The sequence below is a fragment of the Homo sapiens genome, chromosome 11 (genome assembly GCF_000001405.40).
Source record: "Homo sapiens chromosome 11, GRCh38.p14 Primary Assembly".
Lineage (NCBI taxonomy): Eukaryota > Metazoa > Chordata > Mammalia > Primates > Hominidae > Homo > Homo sapiens.
Window position 1 is genome coordinate 2,900,391 of NC_000011.10, and position 25,573 is coordinate 2,925,963.

General features: G+C 61.5%; 1 protein-coding gene and 1 long non-coding RNA gene across 11 annotated transcripts in view, besides 4 other annotated features; one reads left to right on the top strand and one right to left on the bottom strand.

Annotated features, from left to right (window-relative positions):
- SLC67A1-AS (SLC67A1 antisense RNA) overlaps positions 1 to 3,185 on the bottom strand; it is a 16,232-nt gene extending 13,047 nt beyond the window's left edge. For both annotated transcript variants that reach the window (NR_169305.1, NR_169304.1), the window contains exons 1-2: positions 3,069 to 3,185; positions 2,194 to 2,319 (exon numbers count right to left, since the gene is read on the bottom strand). This is a non-coding gene — a long non-coding RNA (SLC67A1 antisense RNA). The remainder of the gene's footprint in view (positions 1 to 2,193; positions 2,320 to 3,068) is intronic.
- The window catches only part of SLC67A1 (solute carrier family 67 member 1), a 25,556-nt gene extending 700 nt beyond the window's left edge, over positions 1 to 24,856 (top strand). Inside the window, exons 1-11 of one of the 9 annotated variants that reach the window (XM_047427033.1) lie at positions 1,888 to 2,057; positions 2,824 to 3,099; positions 7,843 to 7,940; positions 8,806 to 8,966; positions 9,188 to 9,320; positions 16,232 to 16,350; positions 17,598 to 17,705; positions 18,917 to 19,017; positions 21,712 to 21,813; positions 22,046 to 22,166; positions 24,620 to 24,856. In XM_047427033.1, the coding sequence (XP_047282989.1) occupies positions 2,956 to 3,099; positions 7,843 to 7,940; positions 8,806 to 8,966; positions 9,188 to 9,320; positions 16,232 to 16,350; positions 17,598 to 17,705; positions 18,917 to 19,017; positions 21,712 to 21,813; positions 22,046 to 22,166; positions 24,620 to 24,807 (1,275 nt within the window). In that variant the 5' untranslated portion in view covers positions 1,888 to 2,057; positions 2,824 to 2,955 and the 3' untranslated portion in view covers positions 24,808 to 24,856. Of the gene's footprint in view, positions 1 to 1,887; positions 2,329 to 2,823; positions 3,100 to 7,842; positions 7,941 to 8,805; positions 8,967 to 9,187; positions 9,321 to 14,398; positions 16,025 to 16,231; positions 16,351 to 17,597; positions 17,706 to 18,916; positions 19,018 to 19,326; positions 21,401 to 21,711; positions 21,814 to 22,045; positions 22,167 to 24,619 lie in introns of those variants that run through there. The other 8 variants (NM_002555.6, NM_001315501.2, NM_183233.3 and 5 more) reach the window with 8 other exon arrangements.
- Positions 2,020 to 2,149: a silencer, noted in NCBI's record as "silent region_3074". NCBI's record gives its function as "represses an Ori minimal core promoter by ATAC-STARR-seq in GM12878 lymphoblastoid cells {active_cell/tissue: GM12878}" and the evidence as "EXISTENCE:reporter gene assay evidence [ECO:0000049][PMID:35858748]".
- Positions 3,075 to 3,576: an enhancer, noted in NCBI's record as "H3K4me1 hESC enhancer chr11:2924695-2925196 (GRCh37/hg19 assembly coordinates)". NCBI's record gives its function as "activates a minimal SCP1, AML or CMV promoter by ChIP-STARR-seq in naive H9 embryonic stem cells {active_cell/tissue: H9 hESC(naive)}" and the evidence as "EXISTENCE:reporter gene assay evidence [ECO:0000049][PMID:30033119]".
- Positions 11,725 to 12,428: an enhancer, noted in NCBI's record as "H3K4me1 hESC enhancer chr11:2933345-2934048 (GRCh37/hg19 assembly coordinates)". NCBI's record gives its function as "activates a minimal SCP1, AML or CMV promoter by ChIP-STARR-seq in primed H9 embryonic stem cells {active_cell/tissue: H9 hESC(primed)}" and the evidence as "EXISTENCE:reporter gene assay evidence [ECO:0000049][PMID:30033119]".
- Positions 13,837 to 14,538: an enhancer, noted in NCBI's record as "H3K4me1 hESC enhancer chr11:2935457-2936158 (GRCh37/hg19 assembly coordinates)". NCBI's record gives its function as "activates a minimal SCP1, AML or CMV promoter by ChIP-STARR-seq in primed H9 embryonic stem cells {active_cell/tissue: H9 hESC(primed)}" and the evidence as "EXISTENCE:reporter gene assay evidence [ECO:0000049][PMID:30033119]".

Here is a 25,573-nt window from a genome sequence, read left to right on the forward strand (position 1 = left end):
CCAAAGATATGGGGGAAACAGGCTGGGCGCGGTGGCTCACGCCTGTAATCCCAGCACTTTGGGAGGCCGAGGGGGGGCGGATCACGAGGTCAGGAGATCGAGACCATCCTGGCTAACACGGTGAAACTCCGTCTCTACTAAAAATACAAAAAAATTAGCGGGGGCTGTGGCGGGCGCCTGTAGTCCCAGCTACTCGGGAGGCTGAGGCAGGAGAATGGCGTGAACCCGGGAGGCGGAGCTTGCAGCGAGCCGAGATCGCGCCACTGCACTTCAGCCTGGGTGACAGAGCAAGACTCCGTCTCAAAAAAAAAAAAAAAAAAAAAAAAAGATATGGGGGAAATTGCCATTTCTGATGCTTAGGCTCAACAAAGTATGGACATCCATGCGGGAACACAGATGAACCAAGGGACCTGCACTAATGCTCCTGGACCGCAAGGGGAAGCGCAGCGAGGGCTGTTGGTCTAGATTTCTTGAACTTTCTGAGCAGCATTCCTTCCTTCTGGGCATGGAGCAGGACCCTCCTGGAATGGGGTCTTATGCCCTACAGTCAAACAAGAGAGGTCAGATAATTTATGGCCAGCTTCTAAACACAAAGGTGGAGGGAAAGTTAGAGCAATATTTTTAGGTTTGATGTCTGGCTGTGTGGAAAGGCGGGGTTCTGATTTCTATGACCTGCCCTGGGGAAAATGGATTCCAGTTTCTAAGGCCAGCTTCGGGGAAAATGGCACTGAGAGACAGGAGAGCAAGAGAAGGTCAGAGAAACACTTTTTCTTCCGAAGCTGCTTCTGAGGCCTTCATTTTGGGGTATTGTTTTCTGATGCCCAACATATCTGAGCTGCTGAACGAAGGGTAGCTGCTGAACCACTCCCACGGTGACTTGGAATGGCTTAGCCAGCCGGCCTTGGGCCACCTGGCTCTGGCCCCCCTGCCCACCAGGACTTTGGCCGGCTCTCGCTCGCCTCTGCGATGTCCGTCCCACCCTGTCTCACCCCTGCAGTTTTCTGCTCTGTGGAGCGATGATTGACACATGGCAGGGGGACACTGGTTTTGACATTTGAGCCTGTGCCCAGCCCTTGCCTGGGGAGGAGGTGGGGCAGGAGTCCTGAATGAGCATCTCCCTACTTAGTGACAGTCAGGGGCACGGAGAATGGTGCCCAGGCCAAGGGCAGGGCTTGGGCCAAGTGTGCGCAGCGTGGGGTGTGTGTGCTCCAGCGGCTCCTGCTGCGGAGGGCGGCATGAGGCTTGTTTACCTGTGTGCTGGCATCTCTGGTGGCCCCTGCAAGGGTGGGGAAGTGGCAGGCAGGGTGAAATGGGGAAAAGTGGGCTCTCAACTGCTCCTAGCAGCCTCCGGGTCTGGGGAGGGAAGTGAGGAGGGGCCCAGAGCTGTCTCCTGGTCACTCTTCTGGGGCTCTGTGCAGACCTTTGGCAGGGCCAGGCTACACCACACCCTCTACAACCTCCCCTGACTTCTTCCCCTAACCCCTCACCACCATTCCTCCGCTTTTCTCTCCCCGCCCCTGCCTCCCCTCCATTCTCTCCTTCCCTCCACCTCCCGGTCCCATCCCCTGCCCACACTGCCCCTCCTCAGGCCCAAAGTGGACACCGGTGCTGCCTGAGGGTCAGAGTGTCCACCTCCAGCAGCCCGGGCACCGGGCAGGATTCAAGCTGGAGGGGGCTGGGGCGGGCGAAGCCGGGCACGGGGCGAGCCCGCTGGTGGGCGGGGCAGGGGCGGGTCCTTCGAGGGGAGGGGCGGGCTCGGCCAGTGAGAGCGCAGAAACCGTGGCACGGGCGCTCCCGGAACTGGCGATTGCAAAGCGCGAGGGCTGGAACTCAGACCCAGAGGGGCGGTCCCTGTTGCAAGTCATCTCCCGAAAGGGCGGGGCCGGGGCTCATCCCGGAAGGACCGGTGTCTAGGTCACCCTGGAGCGCTCACCCCACCGGCACCCGTGCCCAAGCCCGCCCCTGCAAAGGCAGGTACTCGAGCACACTCCGGAGAGGGCGGCCTCTGAGCCCCGAACCCCGAACTCCGGCGCAGCGTCGCACCTCTGCCCAATGAGGTGCCCCTGACGTGCCTGCTGCGGCTGCCCTGCTCCCCCCAGCCTCCCTGCATCCCGGGATGGGGGAGGGCGCCAGGCGCAGCTCCCGGACCCTCAGGGGTCTCCCCGCCCTACCCCACCAGCCTGGGTTCGGTACCTCGGGGCTCAGATGTGCAGTCAGCTGTTAATGTGGCAAAATTTGGGGAAGTCCTCTGCAGCCGCAAAATCCAGTTCCCACCAGTTGGAGGCCGGGCGGGGAAGGGTGGGGACAGACAGCACTCCGCTGTGGGAGGTAAGGCAGAGCTACTGGGGAGCCTGGAAGGCTGAGCTATGTCTCCCCTACGCAAGACCATTCCAGAAGCCCCTTGGAGCTCTGGCTGCTGGCCACAGGGGAAGGTAGACCTTCCCTGAGAGCTGCACTGTGTTGGGGACAGGGCCACTGTGGGCCTACGGAGGGCCTCCAGGCACAGGGACCCACATCAGCCCTCTGGCCACAGAAGGCGCTGATGATTTGAGGTGGACTCAGCCACCACTCCGAGCCTCTGCCTCCCTCTAAAAGTGGGGCATGGCACATTCCTGTGTCAGGCAACCAGGCACTGAGCCTGGCCCACCTGCAGGGGTCGGGGGGAGCAGCTTGTCCCTGTCTCCCCTCCCCGGGAGGCTGTGTGCCTGGAGACCAGAGCTGTCAAAAGTGGAGGAGGGGGACCCCCTGATGTGTCCTCTAAGGTCCAGGTAGCAGGAGAGCTCCACTGGGGAGGGGGTCCTGCAGTGCTGTCCTCTCTTGCAGGCAAGGCCAGGCGGGTGCTGCCTGGGACCCAGTGACTCAGCACCCCTGCCCGGATCAACTGGACTTTTGCCCCCTGCTCCGCCAGCCTCCTGCTTGGATCTCTCCTGGGTCTCCCTGCTGCGCCTGTCCAGGATGCAGGGAGCTCGGGCTCCCAGGGACCAGGGCCGGTCCCCCGGCAGGATGAGCGCTCTAGGCCGGTCCTCGGTCATCTTGCTTACCTACGTGCTGGCCGCCACAGAACTTACCTGCCTCTTCATGCAGTTCTCCATCGTGCCAGTGAGTAACACACCCCAGCCCCTGCAGCCCCAGCCAGGGCTGAACCGCTGTTCCTCCTGCCCTCCATCTGGGCCGTCGCAGAGAGTGGGGGTGGGGGTTTCATGCTGCCAGGGCCCCTCCCAGTTGGGACTCATGCCACGCTTAAGCTGAGTAAGTTAAGGACTCTGCCTCTGGACCCCCGTCAGCACATCCTGTGCTCCAGCTTCAGTGCCAGCCCCGGGAGAAGCCATGGGGAGCCACCCCACTTCCCTCCTGGGGGCAGCACCTCCTCAAACCTTCCTAGCGCTGTTCCTCCTGCCTCTCACCCGGCAGCCTTTGCCCTCTGGAGTCCCTGCCCCAAGGGCTGTTCAATCCGGTGTGGCTCTGGGCGGATCACCCCTCAGAGAGGCTCTCCTTGCACCTGCCCGCAGCTTCTATCTCTCCCCTCCATCTTCTTGGGTCCTTGTTGTCCACTAAATGATCTGTGGCGGCAAATTGATCTCAAGCTTTTTCTTGCAAGAGATAGAATGCTGTCTTATTTTATTATCTCTGTTGCCAAATGCGGAAACATTTCATTGGCAAATTCATGTTAGTTTAGTGTATCATTCAGTAGTCTATACCACAGTGTGTGGCTCTGGAAGCTGTAATAGTAATGATTAAATTATATTCACCAAGTCTGGAGAGGCTTGGGAACAAAGTCTCACATCACCAAGAAGCTCAGGCAGAGTCAGGGCCAACCTCGGCCCTTCCTGTGTTTGCTTCTGGGAAGCCCGGCGTGCGTGGGCTCAGACAGCTGCCCTCCTCCTCTCAGCCCTCAGAGCCTGGACCTGGGCATCTAGGCGGGAGTGGGGATGGGCCTTTGGCACCATTCCGGGCCTGGCAGAGGCTCCCAGCCCGAGGGTGAGCCTAAGGATCCCTCCCCGCCGTGCCTCAGGCGCCCCGCCCACTCCTGCTAAATGGCTGGGGCCAAGCCCTGAATCTCCTCCCTACCCGTGGGGAAGGCTGGGCAGGAGCCTTGCTTTTCTCATCATAAAATGGGTAATAACAGTCCCTCCCTGTAGGATTGGTGCGGGGAAGAGTGAATGAGAAGTCAGAACCCTTCCCACAGCTGGGCACAGAGCACAGGTGGAGTGGCTTCAGCCACCCATCGACTCTCATGGGGAGTAACTCCGTGCTGAGTGCCCAGGAGCTGACCCTGATGTCAGAACCTGAAATATTGCAGAGTGTAAAAATCCTCAACAGCCCACTCCCTCGGAGCTGGGGGTCCACACGCACAGGGGCTGCAGTGGGAAGGGGGCGAGGTCTTCCTCATAGAGAAGGCAACCTTGGAGCAGGGCTGGAAGGAAGCAGGAGAGGCCCCGGGGCAGTGGAGAGAGCAGAGTGGCTAGAGTGGACCGGTTGAGGCCAGAATGGGACCACACCCCACCTGCTGCTCAAAGAACTCCGGGCTGGTGATGGCTGTGGAGGAGGTGAGAGGTGGCTGGATTTTGCATGTGTTGTCAATGGACTGTAGTGGGTGTGAGAGAAAGCAGGGCTCAGGGAGCACTGAAGATCTGGGCCTGAGCCCATAAGGAAGGAGGCATGGACAGGAGGAGAGGGAAAGATGGGAGCCCAGTTGGGGACGGGTTGAGTTTGAGACGATTTTCGACCCCAGTGGAGAGCCGAAGGGAGCTGGACACAAGGCAGTTCAGCACAGAGGCTCTGGGGCCCTGCAGCATGGAGACGGTCATGGGCTGGGCTCCCCCAGAGGGCAGGGAGGCTGGAGGTCGGATGAGCTGGGGGAACTGGCAGTGGTGATGGAGGAGGGGCAAAGGACCCAGCACAGCCCAGAGCAGCAGACCATCGTGGAGGAGGGAAGAAGCCACGAAGGCAACTGTCACTCCAGTGGGAGGCCTGCCAAAGCGGACCACTGGAGGCAGCAGTGTGGGGTCAATGGGGACCTCAGGGAGAGGGGAGACAGCAGGAGGTTTTTTGTCCTTGCAATAGTTTGCTCAGAATGAAGGTTTCCAGCTTCATCCATGTACAAAGCACATGAACTCATCCTTTTTTATGGCTGCATAGTATTCCATGGTTTATATGTGCCACATTTTCTTAATCCAGTCTGTCATTGATGGACATTTGGGTTGGTTCCAAGTCTTTGCTATTGTAAACAGTGCCGCGATAAAAATACGTGTGCATGTGTCTTTATAGTATAGTCCCCTGGGGCCTGCTCCGAGGGCTGGGAGAGAAGGAAAGAGATGGAAAGAGAGGAGGCTGCAAGGTGAGGCAGCTGCTCAGAGCTCCGCCCTCAAATATGTGGGAGTAGCTGTAGGGGAGGGTCAAGAGAACGCAAGAGAAGTAACAGGATGTGAGCATGCTCCATTGCCACCCCCTCAAAAGGGGATTGTGCAGAGAAACGGGGAGAGAGGAGCACTGGGAGCTTGGTCCAGTGGGTGCCCCCACAGAAGGGGACTGTGCAGAGAAACGGAGAGAGGAACATTGGGAGCCCTGCCCTTGAGGAGGCAAAAGGTTGGGATGTGACGCAGGCAGGGAGGATGACTTGGGTAGGCGAGGACAGGTGGGCAGGCTTGGGGATGAGAAACTCAGCATCCTCTATGAACAGACACTTCTCAAAAGAAGACCTTTATGCAGCCAACAGACACATGAGAAAATGCTCATCATCACTGGTCATCAGAGAAATGCAAGTCAAAACCACAATGAGATACCATCTCACACCAGTTAGAATGGCGATCATGAAAAAGTCAGGAAACAACAGATGCTGGAGAGGACGTGGAGAAATAGGAACACTTTTACACTGTTGGTGGGACTGTAAACTAGTTCAACCATTGTGGAAGACATGTGGCGATTCTTCAAGGATCTAGAACTAGAAATACCATTTGACCCAGCGATCCCATTACTGGGTATATACCCAAAGGATTATAAATCATGCTACTATAAAGACACATGCACACGTATGTTTATCGCGGCACTACCTACAATAGCAAAGACTTGGAACCAACCCAAATGTCCATCAGTGATAGACTGGATTAAGAAAATGTGGCACATATAAACCATGGAATACTATGCAGCCATAAAAAAGGATGAGTTCATGTCCTTTGTACATGGATGAAGCTGGAAACCATCATTCTGAGCAAACTATCGCAAGGACAGAAAACCAGACACCACATGTTCTCACTCATAGGTGGGAATTGAACAATGAGAACACCTGGACACAGGGCGGGGAATATCACACACTGGGGCCTGTCGTGGGGTGGGGGGAGGGGAGAGGGATAGCATTAAGAGAAATACCTAATGTAAACGACGAGTTAATGGGTGCAGCAAACCAACATGGCACATGTATACATATGTAACAAACCTGCACGTTGTGTACATGTACCCTAGAACTTAAAGTATAATAAAAAAACAAAAAGAGAGAAAAGAAAAAAAAAAAGAGAAGCTCAGCATCCTCACACTAGCGGCGCTGGGGAGGGGAGGGATGGAGGAGGCAGAGGTTTACTAGGGGAATGTGGGGTGATTGTCAGGTCAAGCTCACAAACAAAGGAGAGATCTGGCAGACAGAGGGCTTTCCCATCCTCGAGGGAGCAGGGATGGAGCTGAAGGAAGAAGGAGTCTGGGGTTGGGGATGGGGGGGTTACCGACTGCCCTTGGGACTGAAGTGCTCTGGGGAGAATTCGTGTGGACCAAGGGGGACAGTGGAAAGAAGGGGAGTGGGACCCCAAGACTGAGCTTAGGGAAAGGTCCAGGGGAGGGGGCGGGGGCGGTGTATTAGCATCTGGGGCTGCCATAACAAAGTATCCAAAACCCTGGGGGCTTAGAGCAACAGAAGCCTATTGTCTCACAGTTTGGGAGGCCAGAAGTCTGAGATCAAGGCTCCCTCTGAAACCCACGGGGGAGGATCCTTCCCACCTCTTCCAGCCCCTGGGAGCCCAGACATCCCTTGGCTTGTGGCCACATCACTCTGTCTTCCCATGGATTTTTACAACGTCATCCATCCGAGTGTGTCTGTGTCCCAAATTCTCCTCCTAATGAGGACACGGGTCACATTAGATCAGGGCCCTCCCTCATGTCCTCACTGTAACCTGATTAACCCCATTTCCTAAGAATGTCACATTCTGAGGTTCTGGAGGTTAAGACATATGAATTTGGGGGGTACACAATGAAGCCCATAATAAGTTACATCACTGGAAGGAGAGTCGGGAACTCAGAGGCAGGGGCAGGGGGAGGAGCGGCTGCAGGGGGACCAAATCACAGAGAATTAGGGCAGGATATAAGGGTGTCCCTGGGAGGGATGCTGTCATGGACCTACTCCTCCGGAGGGGCTGAAGGGCTGGGGCCTCACAGAGCAGACTGTGTCCTGCTGGGCAATGGGCCACCTCTTGGAGGTCACTTGGGGGCCTTGGGACAATCTGTTGCTGGCCAGGACACTGCTGCTGGCGTCCCCCACAAAGTTTTGAATGAATGAAGACAAAATGGTGGGGGTCAGGTGCCTCTCTGGGGCGTGCCCCCAGAGGGGAAGGACCCTAGAGGCCACCCTGGGCTCCCGCCTAGGAGAGGAGTTGCAAGGACCTTAGAGACCACAACAGGCTTCCGCCTAGGAGAAGAGGAGCAGGGTCCCCCTGGGAAGGGCCCCTCGATGGTCATACTGTGCAGTCAACAGAACCCAGGCCCTCGGTCCCCTCCCACCCCCTGCCCATCCAGGGACCCCAGATTCTAGGCCCTGCAGTCTTTCCCAGCCCCTCCCCCGGGCTCCCTCCTGTGTTTCAGTACCTGTCTCGGAAACTGGGCCTGGATTCCATTGCCTTCGGCTACCTGCAAACCACCTTCGGGGTGCTGCAGCTGCTGGGCGGGCCGGTATTTGGCAGGTACAGTGTGTGTGTGTACAGGGGCTCTCCCCACAGTGACCCAGGCCCCCTCTCAGACGCCATGGGCTCAGACGGGCCAGGTTCCCTGACCCCACACCGGACCCCCCTGGGATGACGGCACTCCTGTGTCACAGGCCGATGGGGGTGCAGAAGAACTTTGGCCCCTGGTAGGCTCCCGGGTGTCCCACCCACGCCTTCCACTACTCCTGCCTGTGGCCAGAGAGAGAGTGTGACTGGTGAACACCTCGTGGCTGTAAGCACCAGCCCGTAGGCCTGCCGAGACCAGGCAGGAGGGACTTTGGGGGCTCCATACACCCCGGGTCTCAGTGCTGTGGGAACACTGAGCTTGAGAGAGGACAGGGACATCCTCCCACAAGCCACAGCAGACAGGGGAGCAAGGGACACGTATTGGGAGTTGCCTCTTCAGAGCAACCCGTAGGCAGAAATGAAGGGTTCCGCAGGCAGCAGACCAGCAGCGATCTCTGGGAGGGTTTCCAGTGGCCCAGAACAGAAGGGAGAAAGGCGCTGCTTTCTCAGACCCAACCTGACAAACGCCTTCTGTAAAACGCGGGCCCACCCTTTGGTCCCCTGGGATTCCACCATTTATTTTTACACGGAGTTGGTCTTTGCCCTGGGTCAGACTCCCAGCTCAGTGAAGCTGTCTGCGCACAGCCCCACTGGGACGCTGGGGAAACTGAGGCCCTGAGAGGAGGGAGGCCTCCCAGCAGCCGCCCAGGCGCCCCCGCCCTCCATCCCCATCCCGCACTCCAGCCTCCCTGGTCAGCCCCGCCTGGGCAGCCCCTGGACGGGGGGAAGGGGACACTGACCGCCTCCGTGAGGGTCCGACCCGCCCCTCGGCCCCCAGGTTCGCAGACCAGCGCGGGGCGCGGGCGGCGCTCACGCTCTCCTTCCTGGCTGCCTTGGCGCTCTACCTGCTCCTGGCGGCCGCCTCCAGCCCGGCCCTGCCCGGGGTCTACCTGCTCTTCGCCTCGCGCCTGCCCGGAGCGCTCATGCACACGCTGCCAGGTAGGGCCGGGGGGACTGGAGTCCAGGTGGGGCCGGGTCGGGGGCAGCCTGCGGAGGACCCGGGACACCTCCAGGGAGGTCTGCGTGCGCGCGGGGTCTGGCCCTAAGGGCTGGACGGGGGTGGGGGGCGACGTGGGGCGTGGCTTGTGGAGGGGCGGGTCAGGGGGGGAAGGGCCCCACCGAGGGGCTTTCGCCGCTCAGCTCCCCCGCCCCGTCCCCAGCCGCCCAGATGGTCATCACGGACCTGTCGGCACCCGAGGAGCGGCCCGCGGCCCTGGGCCGGCTGGGCCTCTGCTTCGGCGTCGGAGTCATCCTCGGCTCCCTGCTGGGCGGGACCCTGGTCTCCGCGTACGGGTGAGTGGTGGGGGCCGGGGCGGAGTCTGTGGGTCAGGACGCCCGCGGCTGGGTCGGCCCCGCCCCGCCTCCTCTTGGCCTCGGTTTCCTCTTTTGCTCGTGGGGCGCGAGTGGCCACGTGATGTGGCTACTGGGGACGTCTGGCCCCGCGCGAGGCCTAGGCCTGACCTCCCGGGCTGGCTGGCCCTGGATAGGGCCAGGTGATGTCCCAGTGCTGTCCGGGGCGCGACTGGACTGCCAAGCTGTCCACGCACAGCCCCACTGGGACGCTGGGGAAACTGAGGCCCTGAGAGGAGGGAGGCCTCCCAGCAGCCTCCTGCTGGGGACAGGAGCACCCTGGGACTGGGATGCTGTGGCAGCGGGGCTGAGCTGTTGGACGGTGCCCAGAGCACACCTCCCTCTCCGGAGGTCTCTAGGGCTGTGCTGCCGGCCTTGTTTGAGTCCCCGAACGTTCTCCCAGCATTTTCACTGGAGCCTGGGCTGGGGACTGATGGCTGCTGATGGCTGTGAGCAGGAGGTGGAGTGGGGTGGGGTGGGTAGTTTGAACACCTCAACATTGCCCCCAGGACTCTGGTTCTAGAATACAGCGGCAGACAACACAGGCTGAGTCCCTGGGATGAAGGGAATGTGATAGGAATTCCCGTAACATCAGGCTGAGCTACATGGAGCAAAAAGTCACAAAGTAGAACTGGGGGCTCGATGGATGGGATCACTAGGGCCTGTCTGAGGAGGCGGCATCTGAGTCGAGGCCTGAAGCAGGAGAGGGAGGCAAAGAAACCACGGTGCAGAGGCCCTGGGTGTGGAAGCCAGGGGGCCGTGTGGCTGGAGGGAGGAAGAAGGGGCAGGCACCAGGCCGGGGTGCCCTGGGTGGCACAGCAGGGGTGAGAATGGGGGGTGAGCTCCCCTGCAGGGAGACCGGTAGGACAGCCATTGTGCCGGCCGAGGTGGGGGAGGACAGTGGCTGGACCAGAGGGGACCGTGATGAGAGAAAGCAGAGGGTAGATTCTGGCTGGGTTTTGCCAGTGGGTGGGATGTGGGTGGGAACTCAAGATGGCAGTGCCAAGGCCGTGCCTGACCCTGGGGAGCCTGGCGCCTTGCGCAGAGGCCCAAGCAGCCTGGGGTGCCACTGGGATTTGGGTCTTGTTCAGGCCCAGCCTGGGTGCCTGTCAGGCACTCCAGGGAGCTACTGAGTAGGCACCCAGATAAGGGGGAGAAATGGGGTGCATCTTCAAGTGTGGATGGCTCGGAGCCCTGCGCCCCCCAGCACTTCATGTTTCGGGGCTGGGAGGTGAGGAGGGAGCACGTCCTGGGAGCCAAGGGCCACTGGATTTGTGGGGGTCAGGGACCCGTGCCTCTACCGCTGGTGGCCAAGGAAGCCACAGTGGCCCACCATCTGCAGCAGGGAGGCCACCCCAGTGCTGGACCAGCACCACCCCCTCAAGTCAGTGCCAGCCGCAGAAGCCTCATGCAATAGACGGATCAAGGGAAATGGGGAGAAAAGAGAGGGGGTCGGGAAGTCGTGCTATAAATGGGGGCAGAGGTGGGTCCAGGAGGCTATGCTCAGGGTGGGAGGAGCCATGGGGAGGCGCCCCAGGGAGAGGGAAGGGCTGATGTGGGAGCCAAGCACACTGCTGGGAGGGTGTCCCTGGAGGATGGGGCTTAGGGCACTTGTGTGGGCAGCTCTGGTGGGACAGCAGGGACGGCTCACCCTGGGGCCAGGGGGCTGGCAGGTGTGAGGTGTGGGGAGCCGGCACCACCCAGGGCCTGTCTCTCCAGGGTGGCCAGGGTGAGGAAGGGCGTGAGGAGGGCACGGGGAGGAGCACTGGGCCCCAGCAGGTGGCTGAGCTGGGCGGCTGCCATCCCAGGGTGCTGCCCACCCCCAGGTACTCTGCCGGCTCAGGGCCCAGCCGCCTGCTGCCGCCTCCTTCCCTGGCCAGCCTTCCTCACCTATGAAATGGGCCCTCCCCTGCCCTTACTCACCCACAACGATGCTGGGAGGGTCCGAGCTCGCTCAGGCAGTAAGCCGTGGCCATGGTGCTGGAGCAGCTCAGCACACATGCCTCCTGCAGGCCCGTCTACGAGGCCACAGGTCCCCTCCTGTCCTCACCTGCCCTTTCCCCCATCACAGCTGCTGACCCAGAAGACACCACTCATGTCCCTCTCCCTCCCAGTAGCTGCCAAGACGGCCTCTACCTCTGCCCACACCTGCCAGAACATTCCATTCGCTTCCCTGCCTCCATTCATCCCAAGATCTGAGGCGCTTTACAATCTTGACGTTTCATAATCAGACCAGCTGTGACATTTCCTTTGATGGGAGGGGTAACCGAGGCCCAGGAGATGATGAGGCTCCCTCCATGGAGCTCCCCAGTCCCCGTCCAAGGCCCAGGCAGTGTGGGACTCCCTCAGGTTCCTCATACCACACCCAAGACACGGGGTGCTGCTTGGGCACTGTGGCAAAAGCTGGCTGCCCAGAGTGGTGGTGGCACAGGAGGGCTGCGGGGTTGACCTTGTGGCTGGTAATCTGCCTTTGTCCAACCCAGACAGGGTGAGGGAGGCCCACACCTCCCCCTCGGGGGCTCACCGAAGGCAGTGGGGCCAGGTGCCAGCCAGGCTCCAAAGCCTGGTGCCCCATGGCAAGGGCCAGCCCCCTGGCCCTCTTGGTCCAGCTGCCCCAACGCCTGCAGCCTGTTCTGGCTCCTGGCCTGGTGCGGGGCAGGAGTCTGGTGCAGCTGTGAACATCCCCCGCCTTGCAGCCTTCCTGCCCTTCCTTGATGGAAACCGAGGCACAACATGTGTGGGCTTTCCCTCCCTGCCCACCCACCTGTGTATCCCATTCCTCTGGAAGGCCCCAGTCCTGCCTCATCCGCACCCACCTGGGCAGCAGGTGGGAGGAGGAAGTGGACTTGGCACCCACAGGCTGCGGGGGCGGGCACTGGTATAACTGGTTTGGGCCCAGCCTCCAGAGCCCAGGGCTGAGAGGCCAGGCTGGCCTGAGGAGGGACCCGGGACCTGAGTCACTGCACACACGCTGGGTGGGGGGTGGCTCTGTGACTCATGTTCTGAGCCCAGCCCCTCACAGACTGGGGAGGGATGGGGAGGGGCCATAGAGTCCTATCCTGAGCCAGACAGCAGGGAGCCCTGCAGGGTTTGCCTTCCCCAGGTGGACAGGCAGCCACCAGGGCCATGCCGGTGCCATGGGGGTGCCAGGGCCCTGTGGGCAGGACACCCCTGCCCAGCCAAGAAAAAACAAGGAGCCAGGGGCACTGGAGCTCAGAGAGGGAGGAGGGGATGGGAGGGGAGGTGAGCAGTGTCCCATACGACCCAGGGCACCCCAAGCGCTGAGCGGAGGCTGAGGAGTGCAGGGGTGTTTGTAACAGGGCACCTGCTGTACAGGGAAGAGGCTCTCGGGGGCAGATAGATGCAGGGCAGGGGCTGGCAGGCAGCTGAGGGAGCAGCAGGATATGGGCGACCCAGGCCCGCCGCCCCCCCAGCCAGGTGACTCAGCTACTGCCTTAGTTCGTGTACCTCGCAGTGCCCAGGACACTCCGGTTCTTTCTGTTCTTCCCACAGTGGGCAGGCAGCAGGCCCCGCTGAGATGGTTCTGGCCCCGCTGTCCCTCAGGACAGCCCTGTTGAGCAGCAGGCTGGACAGGCCTCCTGCTGGGCCCGTGAGTCACTCCAGTCTCAGAGCCCATTTGGGGCAGGAGGGAGCTTGTGGTTTGGTTGGAGGGCTATGTGTTTGGGGAATGGGGGGACCAGGTACGAGGAGACACGAGGACTGGGAAGGGTCAGGCCAGAGGGGCCTTTAGGACCTTCTGGGGCACGCTGGAAGCCAGACGGCAGCTGCGTTAGGAGTGGCATGGCAAGATGTTCATTTTCAAACATGGTTCTAACTGCAGCATCCTGGAGCACGGATGACTTCTCTCAGCCCTGGGCTGGACATCCAGGGACGCTCTGGACAGCCCCCTGCCCCATCGTCTTGTGAGCTAGGTGTCCCACAAAGCCAGGTCCCAGCTGACCTAGCCTCAGCCCCACCTGTGGGTTCGCTCCTGGCAGCAGGATGACCTGGGCACATGCTGTCACCTTGTGCGTCCCCTTTCAGAGCCTCAGAGTAAGGTGAGGCTTGATGAGGGCTTGTCACCGTAGAACACACAGAAGCCCAGACTTCAGCAGAGGTTCCTGGAGACGCGATTGAAAGCCAACTCCACGCCCTGCTATCTGGGCAGCCTCAGGTGTGGGCTGCGGTTGGTGGGCAGGATGCAGGTGGGCTGCGCCCTGCAGGTCCAGAGGGGCCCCAGAACAGTGGAGTTAGGGGCAGCCGGCAGCTGTGAACCCAGCCCTCATTTGCATATAAGGAAATGAGGTCACCTAGCAGGTAAGCGGCAGAGAAGGGACAGAGGCTGTGGGTCCCCTGAGTCCTGTCCAGTGTCCTTTCAACAGCATCCAGACAGACACTCCTGTAATCCATTCAACTGAAAGAGCAGGAGGAGACAAAGACAAATTAACCTGTCCCCACCTTCCTGGTCGTGGCTCCACTGATAAAAGTGTTGGATGAGCCCCGGGAAGCCAGCGTGCCCCTGCGTCTGGCAGGTCGTGGTGAGGTTGAGGGGGGCTGAGCAGGAGGGGCTGACGGCACCGTGCTAAGGGTGCTTCCAGTCAATGGTCCCGGGGGATGCCCAGGCTGTCCGGCGTGCAGAGGCCCCAGGGCTGGGGCCAGCGTGCTGGATTTCCTTCCCACTCCCGTTTCCCTCCTGGCAGTTCATTTTTGGGGAGCAGGAGAGCTGTGACTGGGGAAGGACAGCCTGCGTCTCCCCCAGCAGCCACCCACGGCCCCTGGCACAGTGGTGGGACCTGACTCCCTACCTCCTGGGGCCCTCCAGGGTCCCCCAGCCCCAGGCTTTCCTGTTGCCCACAGCAGCACAGGCCTTTGGTTTACCCACCACCGCTCGAGGGCCTGGCTTCCTGCCACCATGCCTTGCTTGTCACCAGCCTCCTAAAATAGCCATCGAAGTGGTGCGTCTGCTCCTGTGTACTTCTGGGACATCTGGCAAATAAGGCAGGTTTTGCCCCTGCCCAGCCAGACCCTGAGCTGTGACACGCAGGCCTCTGAGGCCAGGGTCCCAAAGAAAGGGCCCGTCTCTCTGGGGCTGGCCACAGGGGCCAGTTGTCCCTCCTGCGCCATACATCTGTGCCTGCTGGCTGGAGGGACAAGCTGTGGCGCCCGAGCCCAGCCGTTCCCCTTCCCTGGCATTTTCCCAAAGGAAGGGCCCATTCGTGCGGAACCCCAGCAGCCAGAAAACCTGAGTAGCTGACGTCCTGGGCGGTGGGTGCTGCAGGAGTCGGAGCTGCCCTGATGGATTGGCGGGGGCAGCAGCACAGGTGGGGTGGATATGCCAGCACCCCCCTAGACTGATGTGAGCTTAGGGGTCCCACCTCAGAAATGAGGGGTGGCCAATGCCCAGACTCTCTGGACTCAGAGGTGGCCCCACTGACTGTCCTAGTCAGTGTGGCTCCAAGTCCCCTCCTTGCTCTGGCAAACGGATGCAGGTAAGTGTGTGTACAAGTTTGCCCGTGTGTGTGTGTGTGTGCGCATGTGGCTGCGGTGAAGAGGGGCGAGGAAAGTCCTTTCTTTGAACTCCTTGGTGGGGACATGGTGGCCTGTGGCTGGCCTTGTTTTTGGGTGCAAGGGCATCTTCCAGGACCCTGACCCCTACTGGGTGCCTGTGCCCTGAGGCCCTGGCCAGGGCAGATTTGGAGGATCTGTTGAGGTTGGGGCAGAACTTGTGCTGCGTGTGTGAATGGCTCACACATTTGTCCGATCATCTAATGATCACTGCGGTCTCCGCGCAGGGTCCAACCCTGGACCACCTGCCCTCAGGGGCCAGATTCTAGCCAGCTGGTAAAGCGAGTCCTTCTCAGATGGCATGCTGTCTGGGAAGGAGGGCTGGGGCCTCACCAAGAAGGGCCCTTGCAGGCTGTATAGGAGTTTGCTCAGCTGCTGAGAGGAAGGCCGTGGCGGTCCGGCACAGGCCTGGAGGCCTTACAGACGAGCTCAGTAGGAAGCCCCAACTTCCTCCTGTCTCTCCCTGAGGGGAGGGGGCTGGCTGAGCCCCCAGGAGGCAATGGTGACAGTTGGAACAGCCAGCTTCAGGTGCCTCCGTCCCCAGGAGACAAGACCTGCCGATTCCTTCCAGGGGAATCACAGGCCAAGTTTCCAGGTGGGGACTCATGGCAGGGAAGCTGACGGTACAGCCAGAGTCCCAGGCCTTGGTAGTGGCCCAGGAAGGTGGGAAGGTGGCAAAGCAGCCTGAGGGGCACCTCCGGGGCTTTGCAAGGCTCTGGGATCCCAGCCCAAAGCCCCCTCCAAGCCCAGCATGCCCCACACTCTAGAAAGTGGGGAGGGGCCAACAGGAGGGGGGTCGGTTTCTGAGGGCCTGCTGAATGCCAGGCCCACCCTTGCCCACGCTGGGGAGGCAGCATAGCCATCCCCATGACACAGCACAGGTGCCCAGGTCTCGGAGAGCCCCTCCCAGGGACATGCACACCAGGCTTGCCCTTTGGAGCCTCTCCTGACCTTGGCCAGCGTGGGAGCTGCTGTTCCTGGGAGGATCCGCCACCTGCCCCAGGCGCTCACCAGCCTGGCTTCCACAGCTGCTACCCACAGGGGCTGCCGGGGCCTGCATGGCGTGGCGAGGGTCAGGGATGGTGAGCGCCCCACCCATTCCTTCATCCATCACCTAATAAATGTGCTCTGAGGGTCCCAGTCCCCACTCTTTAGGCCACAGACTGTGGGGATGTGGGAGGTCAGATTTAAGCTATTTTAGTGCAACCAAAGGTGCAGGTTGGGGGATGTGGCTGGGGCGCCTGGGCCCTGGGACCCGCACCCTGTGCAGCCGAGGCTGTTGCCCGCAGGATTCAGTGCCCGGCCATCCTGGCTGCCCTGGCCACCCTCCTGGGAGCTGTCCTCAGCTTCACCTGCATCCCCGCCAGCACCAAAGGGGCCAAAACTGACGCCCAGGCTCCACTGCCAGGTAAGCCCCGCCAGGTACACCCTGCCCAGATGCTGGGGCAATGGAAGGCATTGGCTAGGCCTGCGTGCTCCAGCCAAGGGGTACGGGGGGCCTGAGGGGAAATCTGGGGGCTACTCACACCCTCCTGCCTTCCTTGAACCCTTCCCAGCTGCTGACATCATAGAAGCCAAGTGAGGTGTGGTCATGAAGAGGTGGAAGTGGGGCTCCGGCAGGCAGGGAGGCCCAGAGAGGCAGGAAGGCCCAGACAGGGAAGGCGTTAGGAGGGGAGGCCCAGACAGGGAAGGTGCTAGGAGGGGAGGCCCAGAGAGGCCTGGGGAGGACCAGGAGGGACCCCCCCAATGGGGTGGGTGGGCCAGCAAGGCTCCGGAAGCTCTGAGTGTCCAGGGAGAGGCGAGGGTGCTGCCCGAGGGGCACTCATTGGTGGAGGGCAGAGGATGGTCAGGCTGGTCCCATGAGGAGAGGCCAAGGCTCCTCAGAGGGGGTCCCCTCAAGGCTGGCCCCCTGCTGAACGCAGCCCCTTTGTGCCAGGCACGTGGCAGGGCCCATGCCTCGGTGCCTAGGGACTAAGAGCCCAGCCTGGGCCAGAGGGACCCACCTGGGACCATCCTGGGGCAGGAGGCTGTCATGGAATTAACCTAGAAAGTCCAGGGGGAGGGCCGGGTGGAGATGGGCCTGTGGCGAGCACAGCAGAGCCAGAGAGGCAGGAGCCCCTGAGACAATAAGGAGGAAGGACTCGGTGAGCCGGGCTGGGGGCCTGTGGCTTCGCACTCAGAGGTGCCCGGTGGGCCAGGCCACGGCGGTGACTTGTGGCCACAGAGAGTGGTACAGTATTGCCATTGTCTTCCTCTGGGCTGGTGGCCTGGTCATGCTCTGCCCCAGGCCCCAGGCCAGGACCATATAGGAAGCAGCTATTGGTCCCTTGTTCAGGGACTGCCGCAGGCCTCCGCCACTGCATGCCCAGGTTGAGGCCAGTCTACCTGCGTGCAGAGAATGCTTTTCCTAAGTGCCTCTGGGGATTCAGGGGGCCCCTAGGAATGCGTAGAAGTGTGCTGAGGGGCGGTGCCCAACCTGGCAGCTGGGAGCATCACCAGCTCCCATTCCCACAAGTGAGCGGTGCTGAAGCCAAGGAAGGAAGCTTTACCCTGGCGGGCGCAACAGGGCCCTCCGAATGGCGAGGCCTGCAGCCGGGCGAGGGGTGGGCATTGGGACAATGGCCTTTGCAGGCCTGAATGGCCTCTCCGTGCCAGGCGGCCCCCGGGCCAGTGTGTTCGACCTGAAGGCCATCGCCTCCCTGCTGCGGCTGCCAGACGTCCCGAGGATCTTCCTGGTGAAGGTGGCCTCCAACTGCCCCACAGGTGAGTCCCAACTACTGCCCCAACAGCGGCCAGAGCCTGGCAGAGTCCCAGCTGCGGCCAGGGCCCGGCCCTTCCTCTGGCCTGTGCCCCACAGGTCCACACAGATGTGGTAGAGCAGGCAGGAGCGGGAGGAAGGCAGAAAAGTGTCTTTCCCACCTCCTTCCAGCCCCTCTACACTGCACACCTGCAGATCCCAGGGTGGGCCCCCACGGGCAGAGGGCCTGGCTCGCAGCCATGCATCCCTGTGTGCTCCTCAGCTCTTACCCTCATACCCTGTGGCCCCACGTCCTCTCCAGACAGCCTGAGATGCAGGGACAGCAGGTCTGAGTGTCACCACTGCCTTCTGCAGCATGCTGGCCCTGGGCCCTCTCAGCAGACCGTAGGGCGTCACGGACCACAGATAGGATAGCGAGCCACGGACAAGCCCACGAGCAGCCCTGTCCCTCAGAAGCCCCGCCTGGACTCCTCTAACTGAGAAGCCAGGAAGCAGGATGGAGAATAGGCCCTCAGCACTCCAACTGGCACCGGCCCCTGTCCCACCCAGCCCACCTAGGCCAGCTCTGTTGGTTCTCAAAACTGGAACCCAAGTTACTAACCTCAGTAACAGGCCCTTTGAGGGCCCTTTTTTTTTTGAGACCACTGACCAGGCTGGAGTGCAGTGGTATGATCTCAGCTCACTGTAGGCCCCACCTCCCAGGCTCAAGCAATCCTCCTGTCTCAGCCTCCCGAGCAGCTGGGACTACAGGCATGGGCCACCACGCTCAGCTAATTTAAGTGTTTGTAGAGACAGGGTCTCACTATCTTTTCCAGGCTGGTCTCAAACTCCTGGCCTCAATCAGTCCTCCCTCTTCGGCCTCCCAAAGTGCTGGGATTGCAGACGTGACTTTGAGGGCTCTTATAACAGAGAGCCGTGGTGGGTCTTGGGGGCCAAATCCTCCCACGTGGTCAGCCCTGGGTCCCTCCCTTCCAGCACCTTCCTGCTCACAGTCCAGAGCTTAGCAACCACACGAGAGGCACTTTCCACACCAGGGATACGGCAGAATCCCAGGGAAGGGTCTCATTGGCCCGGCTGGCATCACAGGCCCCTCCCTGAACCAGTCACCAGCCAGGGCCCAGACACCCTGATTGGCCAGGCTGCTGAGGCGGGAGGGAGGTGGGCGCCAAGGTCGGGGTGTGGGGGTACTCACCCCTGTTCCCCTGCCCCGGCTCAGGGCTCTTCATGGTCATGTTCTCCATCATCTCCATGGACTTCTTCCAGCTGGAGGCCGCCCAAGCTGGCTACCTCATGTCCTTCTTCGGGCTCCTCCAGATGGTGAGTGGGCACACAGGGCCTGCTGGGGGGCACGGCAGGGGTCTCCAGTGGGGCAGGCCTCTGAGAGTAGAGGCTCCTCCCCGGCGGAGGCTGGGGAGCCCTTGGCCTCCCATCTGGCACATGTCAGGGTCCACAGGGAACCAGGCATACAGGCCAGGGAGGGAGAGCCAACTGCAGTGGTGGGCACGCTGTGAGGACAGTGGACTCCGGCCTCTGATGGGCAGCTGGCTGGGATCTGTGGCAGCCCACCTGCCCACCAGCTGTGTGACCAGAGCAAGTCTCCCAAACTCTCCAAATCTGTCCCATGAGGCCAAAGTGCCCGCCTTGCAGGGTCCTTGGCAGATGAGATGACCTAACGTGGCAAAGTGGTTAGACCAGCGTGGGCCCCTTTGGAGGTCCCATAGGAGCAAGACGCCAGCCCTCAGAGGCCACGCTGTCATGGTAGGATAAGACGCCAGCCCTCAGAGGCCACACTGTCATGGAAGGATGCCCTGAAACCCTGGCAGCTCCGATGCGGCAGGTGTCTGTCTGCCAGCCCCCCAGAACCGCTCAGCTCCCGGGCCGGGGCGAGACACCTCCACCACCAGCTCCTCTGGGCTTCTGGACCAGACCCTGGGTGGTGGGGACAGGTGATGATTTGCCACCACCCAGGATGGCTGCCTGACAGCCAGAGTGCGGGGCGGGGGGGCTATTCTGGGACCCGCCAGGGTGGGGGTGGGGGCTCTCGGCCTCTCCGGAAGCCTGTGGCATTCCTGGCACCTCCAAGCCATCTGCTCTTCAGCCTCTGGGCCCAGGACTAGACTAGTGCTAAAATAGCTGCTCCTGGGAGGGGCTGGACCCCCACCGTGGGCAGAGAGGGCCTCTGCTTTTTGGGGCAGGAGGGGCCACCCTGGCAGGGTAAAAAGAGATAAACAGAAAAACAACAGCAACAATAATAGTAACAATCCGGGGTTGTTGCCATGGGGCCTGTTCTGAACAGGCTGCGCCCAGCTCACTGCGAGGAAGGACGCTTAGCCAGGCCCTGGCTGAAGCCTGCAGCTGGGCTGGACACAGCAGTCATTGGCCTGTGTTGTGGGGGACTTGGGCCTGCCATGGCTGCAGTGGGGACCCTGCCTGAGACAGACAGAGCTGGGGTGGTGACCAACACCGTCGGGGCACCCTCGCAGGAACTGGGCCTGGTGAACTGCCCAGGGACGGGGAAGGAGCAGGGTGAGGCATGGGGACCCCGACACAGGTTGAGCAGCGGGAGAGGAGGCTGAGGAGGGGAAGGAGGGGGCCCGCAGAGTAGCCCCCAGACCCCAAGTCCGGTCAGGGACAAGCTTGTTAGCTCCAGGTTCATGTCACAACCTGCAGGGCTCCTAAGTTCAAGCTTTTTTAAACTTAATGGGCAAACTGAGACGCAACACAAATAGGCTTCTGACCTTGGTGTCTGAGTCCTGGATCTGAAGTCCTTCACGGCACTCACTGTGAGCCCCTCTTAGACGCACTGCACGAAGTGAGCTTGCCAGCTCTTCCTTTAAGAAACGTGTTAGGCCGGGCGCGGTGGCTCACGCCTGTAATCCCAGCACTTTGGGAGACCGAGGCGGGCGGATCCCAAGGTCAGGAGATTGAGACCATCCTGGCGAACATGGTGAAACCCCGTCTCTACCAAAAATACAAAAAAAAAAAAAAAAATTAGCCGGGCCTGGTGGCAGGCACCTGTAGTCCCAGCTACTCGGGAGGCTGACGCAGGAGAATGGCGTGAACCCGGGAGGCGGAGCTTGCAGTGAGCCGAGATCGCGCCACTGCAGTCCACGCTGGGCGACAGAGCGAGACGCCATCTCAAAAAAAAAAAAAAAAAAGGTGTTAAAATCCCAAAAAACCCTAAGATAAAGCAAGTGTGAAAGTAAGATTTTTAAACCATTTATGGTTCCGGTTGGAAGCAGTTTCTGTTCTGCCTGGCAGGAATTTGGGAGGGTGACTGGTCCCCTGCAGAGGTGCTGCAGGCTGGGCCTGCCCTGTGGGCAGATACTGAGCCCAGGGGCTCCTCCAGCCGGGGCCACCCCTGCACTCCCAGGCGCGTTGGCCCAGCACGCCCTGCTTAGTGGAGGAGCTGAGATGACCAGATAGAGAGCCTCGCCCTGGCCTGGGAGCAGCCTGCGGCCAAGCCTGTCCCACCGAGCCCATCCCCGGGAGCAGCCTGCGGCCGAGCCTGTCCCACCGAGCCCATCCCCGGGAGCAGCCTGCGGCCGAGCCTGTCCCACCGAGCCCATCCCCGGGAGCAGCCTGCGGCCGAGCCTGTCCCACCGAGCCCATCCCCGGGAGCAGCCTGCGGCCGAGCCTGTCCCACCGAGCCCATCCCCGGGAGCAGCCTGCGGCCGAGCCTGTCCCACCGAGCCCATCCCCGGGAGCAGCCTGCGGCCGAGCCTGTCCCACCGAGCCCATCCCCGGTGTCCCTGGTGTGGGCCTTTCCTTCCTCCCTTGTGGAGAGGAGCCCCGACTCCTCAGGGATCTCAGACCCATCCTGACGCAGTCACTGCTGGCGGAGTAGGGAGAGACCCCGGGGCTTGCAGATGCTGAGGGGCCTTCTCTGCAGAGGGGCCCTGGCCACCACAGGCCAGTCTGGAGGTCCCCAGCTTTGGGGGCTGGCCACAGTCCAGACGCCCCTCCCTCGCCTCCCCCATACCCACTTCTACCCTCTCTGTCTGGCTCTAGGTGACCCAGGGCCTGGTCATCGGGCAGCTGAGCAGCCACTTCTCGGAGGAGGTGCTGCTCCGGGCCAGCGTGCTGGTCTTCATCGTGGTGGGCCTGGCCATGGTGAGGGCTCCCCGCTTTGGGCCCACTCACCTGACCCTCTCACTGGGCAAGGCCACCTGGGCGGTACCATCTGTGCTTAAGCCCTTGGGGACTCCTCCAGCCCCCCACACCCACCCGGGGCCAGCTCTTCAGCAGGGACAGCAGTCAGGGTGGGGAGGGACAGGTAAGACCCCAGAGAGGAGCCTGGTCCCGTGAGGCCCCCACTCAGCTCGGCCCCCGCCTGCCGTCCCAGGCCTGGATGTCCAGCGTCTTCCACTTCTGCCTCCTGGTGCCCGGCCTGGTGTTCAGCCTCTGCACCCTCAACGTGGTCACCGACAGCATGCTGATCAAGGCTGTCTCCACCTCGGACACAGGTGAGTGTGGCCAGCGAGTGGAGCAGCCTCCTCCAGGAAGCCCTAGGAGCTACCCGGTGGGGATGGGGTGGGCAGCCTAGGGTCTGTGTGGGGTGGGTAGGGTGGGGGGCCTGGGGTCTGTGTGGGTTGAGTGGAGTGGGTGGGGTGGGGGCTTGGGGTCTGTGTGGGATGAGTAAGGTGGGGAGCCTGGGTCTTGCATGAGACTCCTGCCCTACCACCTAGCCCAGCTGGGGGCAGGCCAGGGGCCTGGGAGGGGGCTGCCCGCAGGTGGCAGTTGGCTTGGCCCTGAGAAGCACCTGAGGACTTTGCCTGCCAGGCCTGGAGGCCCCGGGGACTTCTGGGCCCTCCCCCAGCACGGGGAGTGGGGCACACAAGTGCTCAGGAGCTTCCTGAATGAATGAGGGAGTGAATGAATGCATACCAGTAATTAAATCCAGGAATCCCCTAGGCCACTGCAGGGGACACAGGTCCCCTAGACATAGATTCCCCCAGTCCCCACTTCCGACCCAGCTTTCTTTCTTGAGGCCGAAGAGAGCCGCTCATGCAGACTGGGGGTGTCCTGGGCCCGATGTTATCCAGGCTCCTGCCCCACCCCAGGCACAGTGTGGGTACACACTGGCCAGTGCAGGGGGCTCCTGTGGGCTGGTTGAGGTCAAAGGACTCAGGAGTCCTTTGGAGTACTGGAGATTCTTCCAGGCCTCCCCAGCAGCAGATCCAGAAAGCTCAGGGCACACATCTGACACTCCATCCACCTGCCTGTCTGGGAGGCAGCAGATCCAGAAACTCAGGGCACACATCTGACACTCCATCCACCTGCCTGTCTGGGAGGCAGCAGATCCAGAAACTCAGGGCACACATCTGACACTCCATCCACCTGCCTGTCTGGGAGGCAGCAGATCCAGAAACTCAGGGCACACATCTGACACTCCATCCACCTGCCTGTCTGGGAGGCAGCAGACCAAGGTCTAGAGGCCCGGATGTGGCCGGGCTGCAAAGGGCAGGCCTATTCTCAGGGCTGCCTGGGAACCTCCAAGGCCTTCGGGGACTGTGACTCCATGGTGCATGGGCTGATGCAGGCTGAGCCAGGAGGGCTTCCTGGAGGAGGTTGGGCAGCACTTTGGAGAGGCCAGGAGGATGGCACAGGAGAGGAAGGCCTGGGGAGATGAGGACCCGGCCTGGCTGGGAAGAGGCCCCTGGAGGCTGAGGGAGACCAGGCCCAGGCCATTGGGCCACGTCATGCGCAGACACCACCCCTGGCCTGGTAGGAGCCAGCATCTGGTTCCCAGCAGCAGCTTGGAAACCCAGCGACAGAAGGGGCAGGAACTGCACCCTGAGTCTGCAGAAGAGGCTGCTCTTAATGGTCCTCCATGCTGGGCCCTGAGCCCAGGTGGGGCCTGGCCAGCTCCTCATCACAGCTGACCAGCCCTGGGAGTTCCAACTCCAGGAGACCTGGGCTCTGAAGTCCCTGGAGCCAGAGACCCTCTGGGCACGGGACCAGAGGCAGTGTCCTCCCACCTGGAGTCCTGGGGGGTCCTCCCGCTTGGCGAGTGCTGCCCCCCTTGTTGCCCGAGTGTTGACAACAGCCACAGATAGTGCCCACGTGCCCGTCCATGCTGCGGGTAGCTGGCCACAGGGGCGTGGAGATGCGGTGTCAGGGACAGAGCAGGCTGCTGCGCAGGTCGGGGCTGTCTGGGGAGCCTCGGAAGCCGCTCGGTCTTGCTCTGGGGACAGGAGGGGCAGGTGGAGGGGCCCTGCATGGGCTTCCAAAGCCCCTCCCAGCCCTGTGAGGGGGAGTTCCATGGAGTAGTAGGAGCTCCGCAGGGTGGGGCGGCTGGAGGAAGGGCTGATGGCCAGGAGGGGCCGTGGGATGGGGGTGTCATGCCCACTCTGAACTCAAGCCCCAACGGTGTCTCACAGGCCAGGCTTAGCCTCCCCACTGCATCACCAGCCCTCGGTGGTGGCAGGCACCCTGGGAAAGAGCCGTGAGAGCCAGCTCCCTGACAGCCTGGGCGGGAGGTTCCGGGCCCCAGGCACAGATGCCATCTCCCTTGGCAGGCCTGGCAGGGCGGGGCCTTCTGCGGTGACCTGTGGTCCCATTCCCAGGCTCCTCCTGTGCTTGGAAACTTTCTGGAGCAGGGAAGAGACTCAGCCCAATGCCCTGGGAAGCACCCTGCATGGCTGAGAGGTCCTCGGGGAACAGACCAGTGGGTAGAGAGAGCTGTGTTTGCTCCAAAGGCTGGGCGGGTGGCAGGGGGTGGGGGACTGGAGGTTAGAAGCTGGCAGGTGGAAAGGATGGGTGTTCAGGGGAGTATTTCACCAGACTATGCAAGGTGCGGACTGCGCCGTGAGGTCAGGGTGGGTCAGGAGAGATGGGAGGCCATGGCTGTGTTCAGGAAGTGGGCAGTTGGCCCAGGGAGCTGCCCAGGGCCTGACTACCCCCATGCACCCCCCAGGGACCATGCTGGGCCTCTGCGCCTCTGTACAACCACTGCTCCGAACTCTGGGACCCACGGTCGGCGGCCTCCTGTACCGCAGCTTTGGCGTCCCCGTCTTCGGCCACGTGCAGGTTGCTATCAATACCCTTGTCCTCCTGGTCCTCTGGAGGAAACCTATGCCCCAGAGGAAGGACAAAGTCCGGTGACCGCTGCCCAGACACAGACTGGCAATAAACTCCTACTAAATCCCTCCGACCTCTTCCGGCCTGGTTTCTGCAGGCTCACGCATGGTCTGCCTGCGTCCTTCAGTGAGGGATGGGGCCTCGGGCTGGAGGGCTTCCTCAAGGAGGGCGCCTACAGCTGGGCAAAGCTCTGGGGAGGACAGAACCACCCAAATTGGTTCACTGTTATTAGTACAGCCCTGAGTCCGCCCATGGAGGAGGTCCCCCTGCTGCCACACAAACAGCTCTTGCTCACATCCCAAGCAATGGCGAGCTCACTGCCCAACTCCCGCCCACAGTGTGCCTGCCCAAGAGCAGAAACAGGTTGCTTTAAAAGATCAGGGAACCTGGCTGGGCGCAGTGGCTCACGCCTGTAATCCCAGTACTTTGGGAGGCCGAGGCGGGAGGATCATGAGGTCAAGAGATCGAGACCATCCTGGCCAACATGGTGAAACCCCGGCTCTTCTAAAAATATTTTTTAAAAAATTAGCTGGGTGAGGTGGTGCACGCCTATAGTCCCAGCTACTCGGGAGGCTGAGGCAGGAGAATCGCTTGAACCCGGGAGGCGGAGGTTGCAGTGAGCCAAGATCCCATCATTGCATTCCAGCCTGGCAACAGAGCGAGACTCCATCTCAAAAAAAAAAAAAAGATCAGGGAACTGAGGCCTTCCTAGATGGAAGGAAAAATGCCCTCATTCTGCTGAACAGTCCAGCACACAGACCCAAACCCTGGTCGCAGAACTGTACCAAGG